The sequence below is a fragment of the Homo sapiens genome, chromosome 1, assembly GCF_000001405.40.
Source record: "Homo sapiens chromosome 1, GRCh38.p14 Primary Assembly".
NCBI lineage: Eukaryota > Metazoa > Chordata > Mammalia > Primates > Hominidae > Homo > Homo sapiens.
The window spans coordinates 27,337,720-27,354,491 of NC_000001.11; the positions used below are offsets into that span (position 1 = coordinate 27,337,720).

Consider the following 16,772-nt stretch of genomic DNA (forward strand, 5'->3'; position numbering starts at 1 on the left):
CGGGAGGCGGAGCTTGCAGTGAGCCGAGATCGCGCCACTGCACTCCAGCCTGGGTGACAGAGCAAGCCTCCGTCTCAAAAATAAAAATTAAAAAATAAACCAAAGACAGCCACAGTAGAATAGATAGAAAAAAGGCTTAAGGCCTGCGTTAGCCTAGCAGAATTTAAAATTTGCCTGGGGGAAACAGGACATAAAATTGTGCCATAGAAGTCACCAACAGGGTCAGCCACAGTGTCCAGCACTTTGGGAGGCCAAGGCTGGAGGAGGGAGGGAGCCCAAGAGTTTGAGACCAGCCTCGGCAACAAAGTGAGACCCCATCTCTACAAAAAATTAAAAAATAAAATTAGCTGGGCATGATGGTGCGTACCTGCAGCCCCAGCTACTACTCAAGAGACTGAAATGGGAGGATAGCTTGAGCTCAGGAGGTCAAGGGTGACAGAGCAAGACCCCGTCTCTCCCTCTCTCTCTCTCTTTTTTTTTGTTTTGTTTTTTTTTTTTTTTTTGAGATGGAGTCTTGCTCTTGTCACCCAGGCTGGAATGCAATGGCATGATCTCAGCTCACTGCAACCTCCGCCTCCCGGATTCAAGCGATTCTCCTGCCTCAGCCTCCCGAGTAGCTGGGATTACAGGCGCCTGCCACCATGCCCGGCTAATTTTTGTATTTTCAGTAGAGACAAGGTTTCGTCATGTTGGCCAGGCTGGTCTCAAACTCCTGACCTCATGATCCGCCTGCCTCGGCCTCCCAAAGTGCTGGGATTGCAGGTGTGAGTCACCATGCCCGGCCTAAGGCCCCGTCTCTTAAAAAAAAAAAAAAAAAGTCACCAACAGTTAGCGAGTGCTTACTCTGTGCTAGGCCTTGTAATAAAATACCATCTTAGCCTCACAACAGCCCTGCAACAAGGTAAGTGCCATCATCCCATTTTACAGATGAAGAAGTAAGCAGAGAAGTAGTGATTTGCTCCGGGTCACAGAGGTAGGAAGAGTGGAACTATGGTTCAAACCCAGCAGCTGGGCTCCAGAGCCCCCACTCAGAGCCACCCTGTGCGATGGCCTCACTGGAGCACAGGAGTGGAAATGAGAGGTGCTGTGATGCGAAAGGAGAATGGCCGCGGAGGTGAAAAACAAGCTCTCCTGACAGCAGCAGGCCTGTGAGATGGCTATTGTCCCCACTTCATAAAGGAAGAGAGTGAGGCTTACAGGGATTGTCATTGATCCCAGGCCACAGGGAACCATGCGGCAGAGCCAGATTTTAACCCAGATCTGCTGGCCTCTAGGACCCTGCCTCTTAATGTCCCTCTTAACAGAGGGATGTTGCCTAGAGACTGGCTGCAGCGCAGGGGCACTGAACTCTGGAGGAGGCTGAGCTAGTCCTGGAGCTGGGGAAAAGTATTCCCACAGGGAGCACAGAAGGCCCAGGGGTGTTGAAGGACAGGAAATAGCCCACAGCTAAGGCTCTACGGGTATAGGTGACGAAGGGGAGAAAGCCAGAGTAAGGGCAGCAATCCTGAGGGTCAGGCTGAGGGCCAGGCTGTCCTGGGAAGTGGTGAGACTTCCATCTCAGGACGTGTCTAAAGGGGACTGGACTGGTTTAGAAATGTATGAATGGGCCCGAGGGATGGCCTGGCTGTCTGCTGGCACCTTCCAAACCAGAGGATGACAAAGAAAAGTACGTTTGAAAGTTGTGCAACATAGGGCCAGAGTGGCCTTGTGTGGCCGCAAGGAGGCAGGAGAAGAGGAGGCTTCCAGAAGAGGCTGAGCGGGGACTGAGACCTGGGCAGGGGGAGGACAGCAGAGACACACAGATGGGAGGGCACCTGGAGTGAAGTGTGGACAGCATCTGGAGGTGGCAGGAAGCAGCAGGAGGCCAGGGGCCAGGATGATGGGGGCTGGTTACAGAGGTGGAAACTTGGAAATAGGTTTCAAGTGGGGAAGAGGCCAGAGGAATGCAGGTTGAGACACAGCAGGAGAGATGGCTGGAAGTATCAGCGTCAGGGAGTCACAGCTATAGGAAGGACAGGAGAGCAGAGAAAGGAAGGGAAATTTAGAAACCCGAAGACCAGATAATGAAGTTTCATGCCTTCCAGGAGGAAGAGCTGCTAAGGAGGTGAGAGGAGGGCAGAGAAACATCCTTGGGGGCGCCAGGACCAGGATGGCAGGAAGGGGTGTGGATGTTCTTGGCCACTCTCCTTCCATTTTGAGGGCCTTAATGAAGGAGGCAGCATCACAGTAATGGTCCCACAGCAGCTGCTCCATGGGTATTGCATGTGTGGGTGCATAAATGCATTAATCAAGAGTACTGGGGTCTGGGCAAGGTGGCTCACGCCTGTAGTCCTAGCACTTTGGGAGGCTGAGGCAGGCAGATCACATGAGACCAGGAGTTCGAGCCCAGCCTGTCCAACATGGTGAAACCCCATCTCTACTCAAAATACAAAAATTAGCCAGGCGTGGTGGCGGGCGCCTGTAGTGCCAGCTACTCGGGAGGCTGAGGCATGAGAATCACTTGAACCCAGGAGGCGGAGGCTGCAGTGAGCCAAGCCAGCCTGGGCGACAGAGCAAGACTCCATCTAAAAAAAAGAAAAAAAAAAGTCTGCAAGGATCTCACTGAATTTTAGTGAAAACCCTCTAAGGAGAGATTACCCCCATTTAACAGATGAGAAAAATAAGATTAATTTGCAAAAAATAAGTAGGGAAGCCTCCACTGTGGTTCTGAGGTGGAGGAGGGTCCTCTGTCTCTCAGTGGTGGTGGGAGTCGGTTCTGATTACAGGAAGGAAGAGTGGGTGTTTAGTTTTCTTTTCTTTTCTTTTCTTTTTTTTTTTGTGACGGAGTCTCGCTCTGTCGCCCAGGCTGGAGTGCAGTGGTGCGATCTCGGCTCACTGCAAGCTCCACCTCCCAGGTTCATGCCATTCTCCTGCCTCAGCTACTCGGGAAATAGCTGGGACTACAGGCAGCCGCCACCACGCCCAGCTAATTTTTTTTGTATTTTTAGTAGAGATGGGTTTTCACCGTGTTAGCCAGGATGGTCTTGATCTCCTGACCTCGTGATCCACCCGTCTCGGCCTCCCAAAGTGCTGGGATTACAGGTGTAAGCTACCACGCCCAGCCTTGTTTGCTTTTCTGAGACGGAGTCTCGCTGTGTTGCCCAGGCTGGAGTGCAGTGGTGCGATCTCGGCTCACTGCAACCTCCGCCTCCTGGGTTCAAGCGATTCTCCTGCCTCGGCCTCCCGAGTAACTGGGACTGCAAGCACCTGCCACCATGCCCGGTTAATTTTTGTATTTTGAGTAGAGACGGGGTTTCACTATATTAGCCAGACTGGTCTCAAACTCCTGTCCTAGAGTGATCCGCCCACCTCGACCTCTTAAAGTACTGGGATTACAGGCATGAGTCACTGTGCCCAGACTGGTTTTGTTTAGAATCCACCCCTTGTCCTGCCTCTCCCAGGGGTCTATGAGGAGCCCACTAATCTTTAATCCATGGCCCTAGGTTCAGGGGAGGGGGTTGGGCCAGGGCAGGCCATGGGAAGTGAAGTGGACTTGGGGGGAGTCAGAAAGCTTTGGTGTGGCCTCTTGTGCCCAAGACAACCCAGGAGGTTCATGGTCCTGAAGCCAATGTAATCTAGGGCCCAAACCTTCTAATCTCAGGGTGGGCAGAATCTAGGTGTAGAATGGGGTGAGTTCAGGGGGGCTCCACATAGACAGAGGGTGTGGGACCCTCACCTTGGCACTAGAAGAGTTCAGGCCTCCTCAAACAGATGGGGCTCAGGACAGCAGAGGGGACAGAGAGGGCTGCTCTGCCAGCATGTCCCAGAAGTGCATGTGGATATAGAGGGCAGCAGCTGCTGAGATGGCCGTGGGCATTAGGCTATGCTGGAGTGGGGACACCTCACCCCGACTATGCCAGCTCGCACCGGGCACTTTCACTTCCCTTAGTATAGGCTCCTTGCACTCTGCTACCCACAGTTTGCATCAGAAGAAATGGAAGAGACCTGCTTAAGGTCACATCACACACCCACTGGCAGAGCAGGGACTCTGCACAGGGTGGTCTAACTGCAAAGTCTGCCATCCTGCCATTCCCCTTGGGGCTGGAAAAGAAAGGTTTCTAACTTGCTTTCAAAGCGAGTTCCTATCAGCCCCGTTGTGGGCAAGGTGGGGCTGCTACCCGTTCTAGAGGGCCTGCTCAGTGGAGCTGGGGCCAAGCTGGGCCTCTCCAGTCGGCTGCGGGGGCGCACCCCCGGGCGCTGGGAGTCCAGGCCCGGTTTTGCATCAGGCCCTGCCGAGGTGTTTCCTCCTCCTCCGTGTGGGGCAGCTGCTGGCTGGGCTGCCTGTTGAGTCAGCCTTCTTCCCTCACGGCTCTTCTCCCGGTCCCTGAAACTCGGCTGCCAGGGGAGCTGGAGCCACCTGCGAAGGTGTCCTCCCATACTGGACCCCTACAGGTAACACGTGTCGGTGCCAGGGTCCCCTGCCAGGGTCCAGAGACGCAGGCACTGCCACCTGGTATCCTGAGCACCCTCCAGCACCTTGGGGTTGGGGGAGGTGGGCACATGTCTGGAACTGGAACAGCTGGACAGATGGACAGACCCTCCTCTTGACCAATGGGTCTGTCCCACCGTGTCAAAACAGCAGAGAAGACCAAACTCCTACCTAACTCTGGTAGGAGATTCTGCCTCTGGTTGGTAGGAGAGGGGACTTCAGGGAGGGGGCACTGCTGAGGACGCTGGGCTGATGCCCATGGCCCAGCTCAGGCAGGCCTGAAGGACAGAAATAGGCTCAGTTCTGCCGAACGTCCCCCCGGCCTCCATCCACACTCAGACACACACACCTGGTGGCCCCCAAGGCACCAGGGGACACCCCACAGCACACAGCCCAGTCACACATACAGCACAGGAGGAAATGCACAATGCATACTGTACACACCCCACACGGCGCTGTCACCTAGAAAGTCACTGAACACACCACACAGACAATATAGTCACCATGCAGCATCACACTGCAACAGGACACAAAGACACACAGCAACTACACAGCTCACAGACTCACGCAACGCAGACATGCCCACCAGACTCGGACCCACACAGCCACACAACAGGGCACAGAGAGGGACGTGGGCTCACACCCCAATCCACAGGGGAGGCCGAACGTGGGCTCACACCCCAATCCACAGGGGAGGCCGAACGTGGGCTCACACGTTGGCCACAGAAGTCCAGGGAAACTGCTGTTGTGGAGCACACAGGTATCCACAGAGTGAATGCACACCGTGCAGCCGTGCTGAGGCCTTCTGCTCCTGAGGGTGTCAAGAGGGATCGCTGGGGCTCGGCCACTGACTCAGCTGGGAGGGGACAGAGCATAGCAGGCGGCGGACACAAGCCAGGACCTGCCCGCCAAGCTGCCTCCGCCGGTCTCAGCCCCACCTGGAGCCGTGGCAATGGAAGGGGCGGGGAAGAGAGGAGAGGCCGCCCAGTGGGCTCAGGACACAGCCCTGACCAAGTCATGGGCCCCTTGCCACGTCTACATGCCCCTCAGCGCTGGGCAAATGCTTTCTTTCCGGAGTCACTGTGGTACCTGAGCATGGGCTGCTGCGCTAGCCTAGGCCTCCACCGCCGGGACCCCAGCCTGGTCTGGGGAGAACTGTGTGGCCAGAACAGAGGGGCCCTGTGGCTCCAGGCAACAGGGCAGGGCTGGCGGCGGGGGCATCCCTGGGTTGGAGGCCTCCGTGGGAGTGGGTGCGGCAGTTACCTCAGGAGAGGAAGTTGGGGGTGTGGGCTGAGGAGGAGGTTGCCTCAGACAGGAAGGCCAAGTGGGCCAGGGCAGGGTGGAGGTGGTGGCAGGAGGGGACCCAGGCTGTGAGGTTCCTGGTGCGGGGGAGTGAGCAGATGTGTGTGTGTGTACGTGTGTGTGTGTGTGTATCTGTCTGTCTAGGTGGGTGGTTGTATGTGTGCATTCCCATGTGTGTGCAGGCATATTTCTGCATTTAATTAATCAAACTTTTACCAACCATCTGTTGTGTGCAAAGTAATGGCTTTGAGGGTGACTCCCTCTCCCTGCCTCCAAGGAGCTCACAACCCAGTTAGCCGGGCAATGTATGTGTGCCAAAGTCTGTATGATTTTTATGTACATCTTTATCGAGGGACATATTTGTCCCCAGACTTGTTCTTGTCTAGGTGAACCCATCCGGGTGGGCCTATCCCCATTGGTGTGCATATGCTGTGTGCAGGTTTTTTTGTTAGTTTTTGTTTTGAGACGGAGTCTCACTCTTGCCCAGGCTGGAGTGCAGTGGCGCCATCTCAGCTCACTGCAACCTCCTTCTCTTGGGTTCAAGTGATTCTCCTGCCTCGCTTCCCAAGTAGCTGGAATTACAGGCATGTACCACCATGCCCAGCTAATTGTTCTGTTCTTTTCATTTTTTTTGGAGGAGTTTCACTCTTTTTGCCCAGGCTGGAGTGCAATGGTGTGATCTCGGTTTACCATAACCTCTGCCTCCCAGTTTCAAGCAATTCTCCCACCTCAGCCTCCCGAGTAGCTGGGATTAAAGGCATGCACCACCATGCCCGGCTAATTTTGTATTTTTAGTAGAGACGGGGTTTCTCCGTGTTGGTCAGGCTGGTCTCAAACTCCTGACCTCAGGTGATCTGCCCGCCTTGGCATCCCAAAGTGCTGGGATTACAGGGGTGAGCCACTGTATCTGGCCATAATTTTTGTATTTTTAGTAGAGAAGGGGGTTTCACCATGTTGGCCAGGCTGGTCTTGAACTCCTGACCTCAGGTGATCGGCCCACCTTGGCCTCCCAAAGTGTTGGGATTACAGGCGTGAGCCACCGCGCCTGGCCACTGTGTGCAGATTTAAGAACATGTGTAGGGCCGGGCGTGGTGGCTCACGCCTGTACTCCCAGCACTTTGGGAGGCTGAGGCTGGCAGATCATGAGGTCAGGAGTTCGAGGCCAGCCTGGCCAACATGGTCAAACCCCGTCTCTACTAAAAATACAAAAATTAGCTGGGCGTGATGGTGCGTGCCTATAATCCCAGCTACTCAGGAGGCTGAGGCAGGAGGTTTGAACCCGTCAGGCAGTGGTTGCAGTGAGATGAGATCGTGCCACTGTACTCCAGCCTGGGCAACAAAGCAAGACTCCTCAAAAAAAAAAAAAAAAAAAAAAAAAAGAATGTGTGTGCATGTCTCTCGTGGGCATGGGTCCGGGTCTGTGTCTGCAGAGGGCCCTTTCTGGGGGAACAGCTGTGCATGCGCCTGTCTTTATGCAGGTGTCTGTGTGCATGTGCGACCATATCTATGCCTACATGGACCCGCGTGTGCACATGTGTCTGTGTGTTCCATCGCTGCAGTCCTGTGTGGCCCTACCTCAGGGTGTGTGCATGTGTGTCTCTTGCTTCTTCCACTGTGTCTCCAAGTGTGTTCAAGGGCTAGTGTATGCATGTGTGCATGAGTGTCTCTCACCCCACCTTGAGCTCAGCCATCCTGGGGTGGCACCCTACCCATACCCGGCCAAGTGTTTGGGGAGAAAAGGGCTGTTGGTTCTAGGATGTGCCAAGCATTTGTGCAGGGCTTGACCTGACCCTCGGTCTGCCCCCAGGAAGCTCCGTGTGCCCAGCTGGGGCACAGCCCCAGCTGATGCCCCAGAGGGGCCACCCATCGCAAGAGGGGCTTTGGGCTCTGCCCTCCCTCCCCATGGCGCATGGGCCAAAGCCTGAGACTGAAGGACTGTTGGACCTCAGCTTCCTGACAGAGGAGGAGCAGGAGGCCATTGCTGGCGTCCTCCAACGAGATGCCCGCCTGCGCCAGCTGGAGGAGGGGCGGGTCAGGTAAGGCAGGGCAGACCCTGGCCGGGGAGCACCAAGAGGCTTGAGTGGCCCCCATCCTGCTCCCTACCGACACCACTGCCTGTCAGATGTCTGCGTGGTTCTTGGTTTTGCCCTTCAGTCTCCTCTGGCCTTGGCCAGCTCACAGCTCATCACTTCTCCAGGGGTGACTGCACCAGCTTTCTCGCCAGCCTCCCTGCCTCCAGGCTTGCCTCTTGGGCCCACCTCCTGCAGCTGGTGCTCCCCAGATCTGTCTGCTTTTTTTTTTTTTTCTTGAGACAGAGTTTCATTTTTTCGCCCAGGCTGGAGTGAAGTGGCACAATCTTGGCTCACTGCAACCTCCACCCCTCCGGGTTCAAGCGATTCTCCTGCCACAGCCTCCCAAATAGCTGGGATTATAGGCACATGCCACCATGCCCAGCTAATTTTTGTATTTTTAGTAGAGATGGGTTTTCGCCATGTTGGCCAAGCTGGTCTTGAACCTCTGATCTCAGATGATCCACCCGCCTCAGCCTCCCAAAGTGCTGGGATTACAGACGCGAGCCACCGTGCCTGGCCAGATCCGTCCTTAATATCCCCGCTGAAAACTTCCCCTGGCTCCCCAGTATCAAGGGCAAGCTCCTAGGCATGGTCCACTGGGCCTCCCTGGTCGGTCCTTGCCAGCCCCCACCATCTCCTCTTTCACCATAACTCCGACCCGACACACAGACACAAAGTGACCCCTCCAGCCACTCAGGTGCTCCCCAGTCCCTGAACCCACTCTTCACTTCTATGCCTATGCTGGTACTTCTTCCTGGAAGAGCACAGTTGTAGAAGAGCATGGGCGTTACAAGCAATGTTTGGGGACAGACACTTCCTAGCTACGTAGCCTTGGCAACTCACCTGACCTCCTTGAGCACCATGCTCGTCGTCTGTAAAATGGGGCTAAGGAGTCCTACTTCACTGATTTAAGAGGAATTGGCCAGAGATAGTGGCAACGCCTGTAATCCTAGCACTTTGAGAGGCTGAGACGGGAGGATTGCTTGAGCCCAGGAATTCAAGACCAGCCTGGACAACACAGTGAGACCCCATTCCTACAAAATATAAAAAATTAGCCTGGCGTGGTGGTGTGCGCCTGTAGTCCCAGCTATTTAGGCAGCTGAGGTGAGAGGATTGCTTGAACCCAGGAGGTCAGGCTGCAATGAGCCATGATCATGCCACTGCACTCCAGCCCGGGCAACAGAGCAAGACCCTGTCTCAAAAAAAAATAATAAAATTAAAAGTATAATAATTATTATCCTTCTCTACCTGGAGAGTTCCAATTTGTCTTTTAAGAAGAAATTCAAGGCTGGGCACAGTGACTTACAACATTGTGGGAGGCTGAGGCAGGTGGATTGCTTGAGTCCAGGAGTTAGAGACCAGCCTGGGCAACATGGAAAAGCCCCGTCTCTACAAAAAAATATATAAAAAATTAGCTGGGCATGGTGGCACACGCCTGTAGTCCCAGCTACTCAGGAGGCTGAGGTGGGAGGATCACTTGAGCCTGGAAGGTGAAGGTTGCAGTGAGCTGAGATTGCGCCACAGCACTCCAGCCTGGGCATAGAGGGAGACTCCATCTCAAAATAATTAAGTAAATAAATAAATAAAGGCAATTCAAATGTCACCTCCTCTGGGAAGCCCTCCTGGATTCTCACAGGCAGAGCTGGCTCTTCTTACTTCTATCACATCATCCACCTCACTACAGTGTACTTGTCTCTTCTGGACTTGGTCTCCCCAGCAGCCCGAGCTCCTCCACAGCACAGATCAAGTCTGATTTGCTGTTGGGTCCCTGGCCCCTGGTCCCAAGCCTGTTAACAATGTAGGTGGCGGGAATGTTGCTTGGGTGAGTCATGACAGCCACACCCTCCCCCTTCCTCCAGCAAGCTCCGGGCCTCAGTGGCAGACCCTGGGCAGCTGAAGATCCTGACAGGGGACTGGTTCCAGGAAGCACGCTCCCAGCGGCACCACAATGCCCACTTCGGCTCTGACCTTGTCCGAGCGTCTATGCGCAGGAAGAAGAGCACCAGGGGTGAGAGGAGATCCTCGGGGCAGGGCAAGCCATGTGCCGTCCAGGGCGCTGGCTGTATGTGGACAGGGAGAGAGGACCACTAGGGCTCCAGTCCTGGCTGCCCCCAGTACTGTGTGTCTTTCAGTGGGCAATGCCCCTCCGTGGGCATGGGGTGGGTGGGTATCTCCCAGGGCCTCTCCCGAGTCACAGCCAGGCTTCCTGAGCATGGGGGCTCACAGAACTTCTCACCTGCGCCCAGGAGACCAGGCTCCAGGCCACGACAGGGAGGCTGAGGCTGCTGTGAAAGAGAAGGAAGAGGGGCCAGAGCCCAGGTGAGGAGGAGTCTCAGGAAGGGGGAGATGGTGCCCACCAGTCACCAGGGTCCCTCCCTCTGAGAGCGTCCTCTCCCTACTCCTAGGCTCACCATTGATGAGGCCCCTCAGGAGAGGCTCAGGGAGACTGAGGTAAGTGAATGAGCCAACATGTGAGTACAGTGTCCCTGGAGGGGAGGTGGAATGTGCAGGGGGCAGGGGGGAAAGAGCCCCAGCCTGGGAATGGGGAGACCCTGGAAATGTTCCTTCCTGTGTCTGCACCTCATCACCTCCTGGGTGGAACAGTGGTGAACGGTGGGGAACGGTGGTGAATGGTGGTAAACAGTGGTGAACGGTGGTGAACAGTGAGTGGTATATGGACCCAGCCTCTAAGGGAACTTCTGAATCTGGCTATTAAGGGGTGAAGTGGGGCCAGGCACGGTGGCTCATGCCTGTAATCCCAGCATTTTGGGAGGCTGATGTGGGAGGATCGCTTGAGCCGAGGAGTTCAAGACCAGCCTGGGCAACATAGCAAAATGCCCCCCATGTCTATAAAAAATAAATAAAAAAAAAAGGCCGGTCGTGGCAGCTCACGCCTATAATCCCAGCACTTTGGGAAGCCGAGATCACCTGAGGTCAGGAGCTCAAGACCAGCCTGACTAACATGGAGAAACCCCATCTCTACTAAAAATACAAAATTAGCTGGGCATGATGGTGCATAACCTGGAATCTCAGCTACTGGGAGGCTGAGGCAGGAGAATCGCTTGAACCCAGGAGGCGGAGGTTGCAGTGAGCCAAGATCACACCATTGCACTCTAGCCTGGGCAACAAGAGTGAAACTCTGTCTCAATTAAAAATAATAAGAATAAATTTAAAAAAAGAAAAAAGGTTGTCTACCAATGGGTCAATATAAAAAATAAAAATAAAAAAAGGAGTGAGAAAGGAATGGGACTGGCCTGGCCTGGCAGAGGTGGAGGACTCAGGTACGAATGACCCCACCAATGGGAGTAGGGAGTCAGGCGGCACAAGCCCTGCGGGGTGGGCTGTGAAGCACTGGTCTCACCGCTCCTGCAGCTGGCTGCCAGCCCTGCCCGGAGGGCTGCCCTAAACCTGAAACTGGGGTAGCTGGCTGGAGCCCTATGACCTCTGACCCCAATATGACCTTTGACCTCTTCCTCACCAGCCCCCGTACTGTGACCTCTACCCCTTTCTTCCTTCAGGGACCTGATTTCCCATCGCCTTCTGTCCCCCTAAAGGCTTCAGATCCTGAGGAGGCGTCCCAGGCCCAGGAAGGTGAGTGGGAGCGCCTGTTGGGGAGCACGGAGAGGTTTCGCGGGTCAGAGGCAGCTCTAAGGGGCCCCAACCACCTGTGTTCACCCTCGTCACCCCCACTCCCACCCCGCGTCGGAGGTGGGGACGATCCCAGGGCAGCACCGGGGCCTGAATCTGCAGCTCGCTGGGGTTGTAAACCAGTTCCTACAAATTTGCTTAGGGGAGGGCAGGAGAGGGCTCGCTTAGCATCTCGTGCCCCACCCCAGATCCTGGCCAAGGAGACCAACAGGTCTGTGCCGAGGAGGCTGACCCGGAGCTGGAGCCCGCGTCGGGGGGAGAGCAGGAGCCGCGGCCCCAGCAAGCCCAGGTAGGCGGGAGTGGCCCGTGGCTGCTCTCAACATCCGGAGCGGACTCCGGGCGGGGAGCGCTCCTGCCCAGGGCTGCGAGCCGCCCGCGACCCAGGGCGCTCGGGGCAGGGGTGGGGAAAGAAGGGGCGCCCCGTCACTTGCCCCCTCTGCAGACCAAGGCCGCGTCCCAGATCCTGGAGAATGGGGAGGAGGCCCCGGGGCCCGACCCCTCTCTCGACCGCATGCTCAGCAGCAGCTCCTCGGTGTCCAGCCTTAACTCCTCCACGGTGAGGCGGGAGGGAGGGGACCCGGGCGGCCGGGGGGTGGACCCGTTCCGATGCGTAGCCCCTGCCTGCCCCTCCCTCGCCGCGGGACCCACCGCTGCAGCCCCCCAGCCTGCCACCTATGACCCGGGTCTGAAGCCTCCGCGCTGCCCGCGGCCCCGACGTGAGCCCTGCGAGCGGCCCTGACTCCCACCCACTCCCGTCCGCAGCTGAGCGGCAGCCAGATGAGCCTGTCAGGCGACGCGGAGGCGGTGCAGGTCCGCGGCTCCGTGCACTTCGCGCTGCACTACGAGCCGGGCGCCGCCGAGCTGCGCGTGCACGTGATCCAGTGCCAGGGCCTGGCCGCCGCCCGGCGCCGCCGCTCGGACCCGTGAGTGCCCCGCCGGCCAAGCGGGGCGCGGCTGTCACAGCCCAGCCCACCATTCACAGGGTCTCGGCCTCCTCGTCCTCATCTTCAAAATGGGAACAACAGCGTTATTGGGAGGCGTGCGATTAAGCGAGACAATCCCTGTAAAGCGCTTAGCACGAGGCCTGGCACGTGTTCGGGATGGTGGCTGGGGGAGCCCACAGGCAGGGGAGAAGGCTCTGGGAGGGCCCCTCCTCACCTCGGGTTCTCACCTCCCCAGCTACGTCAAAAGCTACCTCCTCCCGGATAAGCAGAGCAAGCGCAAGACGGCGGTGAAGAAACGGAATCTGAATCCGGTTTTCAACGAGACTCTCCGGGTGAGGCTGTGACCACGATGCGGTTCCCCGTTAATGAACTGGACGCCCCCTTCCTGCGGGGCTAGGTGGCAAGGGCAGCCAGTAACGTCATTGCCCGGAGGATCGGCGGAGGGGGCCCATTAACTCGTTATCCAGTGTTGTCAGCCTCGTGGTGGGCGTGGTGATAGTGCAGGTCCCCATTAATGCCCTTAGGGGCTCCCCAGAATTCCATCATGGTAGGAACGCGGTAGGACCTGCCTCAGCCAACTCGCGCAGCATCTACGCGGGCCACCAGCAGTGCTCCACTAAAGCTCACCTCCTGTCCTCAGTACTCCGTCCCGCAGGCCGAGCTTCAGGGCCGCGTGCTGAGCCTGTCTGTGTGGCACCGCGAAAGCCTGGGTCGCAACATCTTTCTGGGCGAAGTTGAAGTGCCCCTGGACACGTGGGACTGGGGCTCTGAGCCCACCTGGCTCCCCCTGCAGCCCCGGGTGAGGCAGCCAGGCCGCGTGGGGAGACCTGCGGCCCGGGTCTCCTGCATTTACCCCACCAGGCTCTCCCGCAGCCCCCTCACACCCCGCCTTCGACAGAACCTCCCCTCAACCTCTTAACCTCATGGCCCCAGGCGAAGCCCGGCCGGCCACGGCCCCTTCCCCGAGGGCGCTAGGACCCCTAGGTTCTGCCCCTGCAGGCCCCGCCGTCTCTTCTAGCCGCACCCCATCCGGGTCTGCAGACCCCACCCTCCTGAGGCCCCTTTCCATTAGCCCCTGCTCCACGATAAGCCCGCCTCTCGCAGGTCCCACCCTCTCCCGACGACCTTCCGAGCCGCGGGTTACTCGCCCTGTCCCTCAAGTACGTCCCCGCCGGCTCCGAGGGTGAGTGACAGCCGGAGAGGCCAAGCTGGACACGCCCTGAAAAGCGGGAGACTCCAGTCCCCGGGTTTGGGGGCGGTGGACTCCATCCGTGTGCGGGCCTGAGCCGAGCCTCTCCGCAGGCGCAGGACTGCCCCCGAGCGGGGAGCTGCACTTCTGGGTGAAGGAGGCTCGGGACCTCCTGCCGCTGCGGGCAGGATCCCTGGACACTTACGTACAATGGTGAGGAGTGCTGGCCCTCCGGGCTTCCCATTCTTTTGCCTGCAGTGGAGTGCCCAACCTCCACAAACCCTTACTAATCAACCTTTGATCACGCAGCCTGGGCTTTCACCACTGAGCAGGGGTGAAGGGGACGGTTTGAGCAAAGGCCTGGAGTCAGGGAAGTTGAGGACACCTTTGAGGAGCTGCATTTCAGCGTGACTGGCGCCTATAGGACTTGTTGAAAAGCTGAGGCTGAGGGCTGCAAGGGTCCTTCCATAGAGAACCTGGGAGGCCAGGCTGTGGGGCTTGGCTGGGAACTTATAGTTCAGTGTAAGCTTCTAGGGGACTTCTAGGGGTGCCTCCAGGTGCTGCCCCCACTGTTAGAGAGTGAAATGGAGGTGGGCGGGTCACTTCTGGGTGTCCACTCTGATGCAGCCAGAGGCTGCAGTACAGAGGTACTGTACTTCTGAGCAACACTGTATTTTGCAGAGGGGGTTCCCAGGCTTTGAAAACCTTGGAAACAGGCCAGGCACGGTGGCTTATGCCTGTAATCCCAGCACTTTAAGAGGCTGAGGCGGGTGGATCACCTGAGGTCAGGAGTTTGAGACCAGCCTGACCAACATGGTGAAACCCCATCTCTATCAAAAGTACAAGAAATTATCCGGGCGTGGTGGTGGGTGCCTGTAATCCCAGCTACTTGAGAGACTGAGGCGGGAGAATCACTCGAACCCAGAAGGTTGCAGTGAACCAAGATCACGCCACTGCACTCCAACCTGGGCAAAACAGAGCGAGACTCGATCTCAAAAAATAAAAAAAAACCTTGGAAACTGCTTGAGGAGGGGTGGTGGTGGAGCAACAGGGAGATAATAAAAGTCACTGAGCCAGCGAGAATAGCAGAACTGCATTTCAGAGACATTGCTCTGCAGCCCTGTGAATAGGAGTTGTAACATTATTATTATTATTATTATTTTTGAGACGGAGTCTCGCTCTGTTGCCCAGGCTGGAGTGCAGTGGCACCATCTTGGTGCACTGCAAGCTCCGCCTCCTGGGTTCACACCATTCTCCTGCCTCAGCCTCCTGAGTAGCTGGGACTACAGGCGCCCGCTACCACGCCCAGCTAATTTTTTTGTATTTTTAGTAGAGACGGGGTTTCACCATGTTAACCAGGATGGTCTCAATCTCCTGACCTCGTGATCCGCCCGCCTCGGCCTCCCAAAGTGCTGGGATTACAGGCATGAGCCACCGCGCCCGGCTATTATTATTTTTTTTAAGATGCAGTCTCACTCTGTTGCCTAGGCTGGAGTGCAGTGGTGTGATTTCAGCTCACTGCAGCCGCAGTCTCCTGGGCTCCAACGATTCTCCTGCCTCAGCCTCCCAAGTAGCTGGGATTACAGGTGCATGCCACCATGCCCAGCTAATTTTTGTATTTTTAGTAGAGATGGGGTTTCACCATGTTGGCCAGGCTGGTCTCGAACTTCTGACCTCAGGTGATCCACCCACCTCGGCCTCCCAAAGTGCTGGGATTACAGGCGTGAGCAACCTCGCCCGGCCAGGAGCTGTAACTTTTAAAGCCAGGAGACCTGAGAGGAGGCTGGTGCAAAGGTCCCAGGGCAGTGAGGGTCTAAGGCCAGGCAGGCAGGAGCCAGGGGACATGGACATATGTGAGAGAGAATGAGTGGGACGTGGTGACTGGATGACTCTAGGGAGTGTGAGGGGGGTCACCTGATGCCAGGCCACCTCCCGCACAGCTTCGTGCTGCCTGATGACAGCCAGGCCAGCCGCCAGCGTACAAGGGTTGTGCGACGCAGCCTCAGCCCTGTGTTCAATCACACCATGGTGTACGATGGCTTTGGGCCTGCTGACCTGCGCCAGGCTTGTGCCGAGCTCTCCCTCTGGGACCATGGGGCCCTGGCCAACCGCCAGCTGGGGGGCACACGCCTCAGCCTGGGCACCGGTAAGTGGGACAGCACCCTGAGACAGGCCCTGGGACAGGCCCTGGGAGATGGGGGCTCAGTGTGTGGCCCTGGATACCTCTCTGTCCTTTCCTGAGCTTTGATATCTACTGAGAACTGAGGGTGGTAACGGGGGACAGTGCATAATCTGGGACCAGGCAGGTGTTTGGGGGCCCCAAGGTGTCCAGTGTGATCATGCCCTCAACCCCTGCCCACCCACATCCAGGCAGCAGCTATGGGCTGCAGGTGCCCTGGATGGATTCCACACCTGAGGAGAAGCAGCTGTGGCAAGCCCTCCTGGAGCAGCCGTGCGAATGGGTGGATGGCCTTCTACCCCTCAGAACCAACCTGGCCCCCAGGACGTAGCCCCACCAAGCCTCTCTCTCTGGACCCCCATCTCAGGGCCTGCCCTTGGCTAAAGTCAATAAAGTCTATTCTAAGAGCAATAAAAGGCTGGTGTCTGCTGGGGCAGGGAGGAAGAAAGGTGATTGTAGGAAAGAGCCAGGGAAGTAAGAGGGGCCAGATTAAGGAACTTCAGACTCTGCCACAAAGACTTCAGAGAAACCAGGCACAGTGGTTCACGCCTGTAATCCCAATGCTTTGGGAGGCTGAGGCAGAAGGATTGCTTTAGCCCAAGAGTTCAAGACCAGTCTGAGCAACATAATGAGACCCCATCTCGACAAAATTTTAAAAATTAGCTGCAGGTGGTGGTGTCACATGCCTGTAGTCCCAGCTACTCAGGAGGCTGAGGCAGGCAGATTGCTTGTGCCCAGGAGTTCAAGGCTGCAGTGAGCTATGCCACAAAGCGAGATGCTATTTCTACAAAAAAAAAAGTTTAAAAATTAGGTGGGTGTGGTGGTGCACAGCTGTGGTCCCAGCTACTCAGGAGGCTGAGGAGGAAGGATCGCTTGAATCCAGAAGCTTGAGGCTGCAGTGAATATGACTATGCCACTGCACTCCAGCCTGGATGACAGAGTAAGACCTTGTCTCTAAAAAAGGTGTTTT

The 16,772-nt window shown here is 56.7% G+C and overlaps 1 protein-coding gene across 7 annotated transcripts, besides 8 other annotated features; it reads left to right on the plus strand.

Annotated features, from left to right (window-relative positions):
- Positions 3,924–4,183: an enhancer, noted in NCBI's record as "active region_543". NCBI's record gives its function as "activates an Ori minimal core promoter by ATAC-STARR-seq in GM12878 lymphoblastoid cells {active_cell/tissue: GM12878}" and the evidence as "EXISTENCE:reporter gene assay evidence [ECO:0000049][PMID:35858748]".
- SYTL1 (synaptotagmin like 1) lies at positions 4,303–16,213 on the plus strand. Of its 7 annotated transcripts, none has more exons than XM_005246022.4 (15): positions 4,303–4,648; positions 7,578–7,806; positions 9,702–9,850; positions 10,089–10,161; positions 10,248–10,293; positions 11,361–11,433; positions 11,679–11,779; positions 11,933–12,046; positions 12,253–12,413; positions 12,670–12,766; positions 13,075–13,233; positions 13,539–13,617; positions 13,737–13,836; positions 15,564–15,769; positions 15,994–16,213. In XM_005246022.4, exons 1-15 carry the CDS (start codon positions 4,591–4,593, stop codon positions 16,131–16,133), a joined length of 1,785 nt encoding a protein of 594 aa, XP_005246079.1. In that variant the 5' UTR covers positions 4,303–4,590; the 3' UTR covers positions 16,134–16,213. The 7 variants fall into 7 exon arrangements, with proteins under 7 accessions (XP_005246079.1, XP_006711053.1, NP_001180237.1 ...); XM_006710990.2 differs by having other exon boundaries at positions 11,397–11,433; NM_001193308.2 differs by having other exon boundaries at positions 4,303–4,431.
- Positions 4,714–4,763: an enhancer, noted in NCBI's record as "active region_544". NCBI's record gives its function as "activates an Ori minimal core promoter by ATAC-STARR-seq in GM12878 lymphoblastoid cells {active_cell/tissue: GM12878}" and the evidence as "EXISTENCE:reporter gene assay evidence [ECO:0000049][PMID:35858748]".
- Positions 4,938–5,555: an enhancer, noted in NCBI's record as "H3K27ac-H3K4me1 hESC enhancer chr1:27669148-27669765 (GRCh37/hg19 assembly coordinates)". NCBI's record gives its function as "activates a minimal SCP1, AML or CMV promoter by ChIP-STARR-seq in primed H9 embryonic stem cells {active_cell/tissue: H9 hESC(primed)}" and the evidence as "EXISTENCE:reporter gene assay evidence [ECO:0000049][PMID:30033119]".
- Positions 5,554–5,643: an enhancer, noted in NCBI's record as "active region_545". NCBI's record gives its function as "activates an Ori minimal core promoter by ATAC-STARR-seq in GM12878 lymphoblastoid cells {active_cell/tissue: GM12878}" and the evidence as "EXISTENCE:reporter gene assay evidence [ECO:0000049][PMID:35858748]".
- Positions 9,338–9,878: an enhancer, noted in NCBI's record as "H3K4me1 hESC enhancer chr1:27673548-27674088 (GRCh37/hg19 assembly coordinates)". NCBI's record gives its function as "activates a minimal SCP1, AML or CMV promoter by ChIP-STARR-seq in naive H9 embryonic stem cells {active_cell/tissue: H9 hESC(naive)}" and the evidence as "EXISTENCE:reporter gene assay evidence [ECO:0000049][PMID:30033119]".
- Positions 9,879–10,417: an enhancer, noted in NCBI's record as "H3K4me1 hESC enhancer chr1:27674089-27674627 (GRCh37/hg19 assembly coordinates)". NCBI's record gives its function as "activates a minimal SCP1, AML or CMV promoter by ChIP-STARR-seq in naive H9 embryonic stem cells {active_cell/tissue: H9 hESC(naive)}" and the evidence as "EXISTENCE:reporter gene assay evidence [ECO:0000049][PMID:30033119]".
- Positions 11,797–12,106: a silencer, noted in NCBI's record as "silent region_508". NCBI's record gives its function as "represses an Ori minimal core promoter by ATAC-STARR-seq in GM12878 lymphoblastoid cells {active_cell/tissue: GM12878}" and the evidence as "EXISTENCE:reporter gene assay evidence [ECO:0000049][PMID:35858748]".
- Positions 12,207–12,266: a silencer, noted in NCBI's record as "silent region_509". NCBI's record gives its function as "represses an Ori minimal core promoter by ATAC-STARR-seq in GM12878 lymphoblastoid cells {active_cell/tissue: GM12878}" and the evidence as "EXISTENCE:reporter gene assay evidence [ECO:0000049][PMID:35858748]".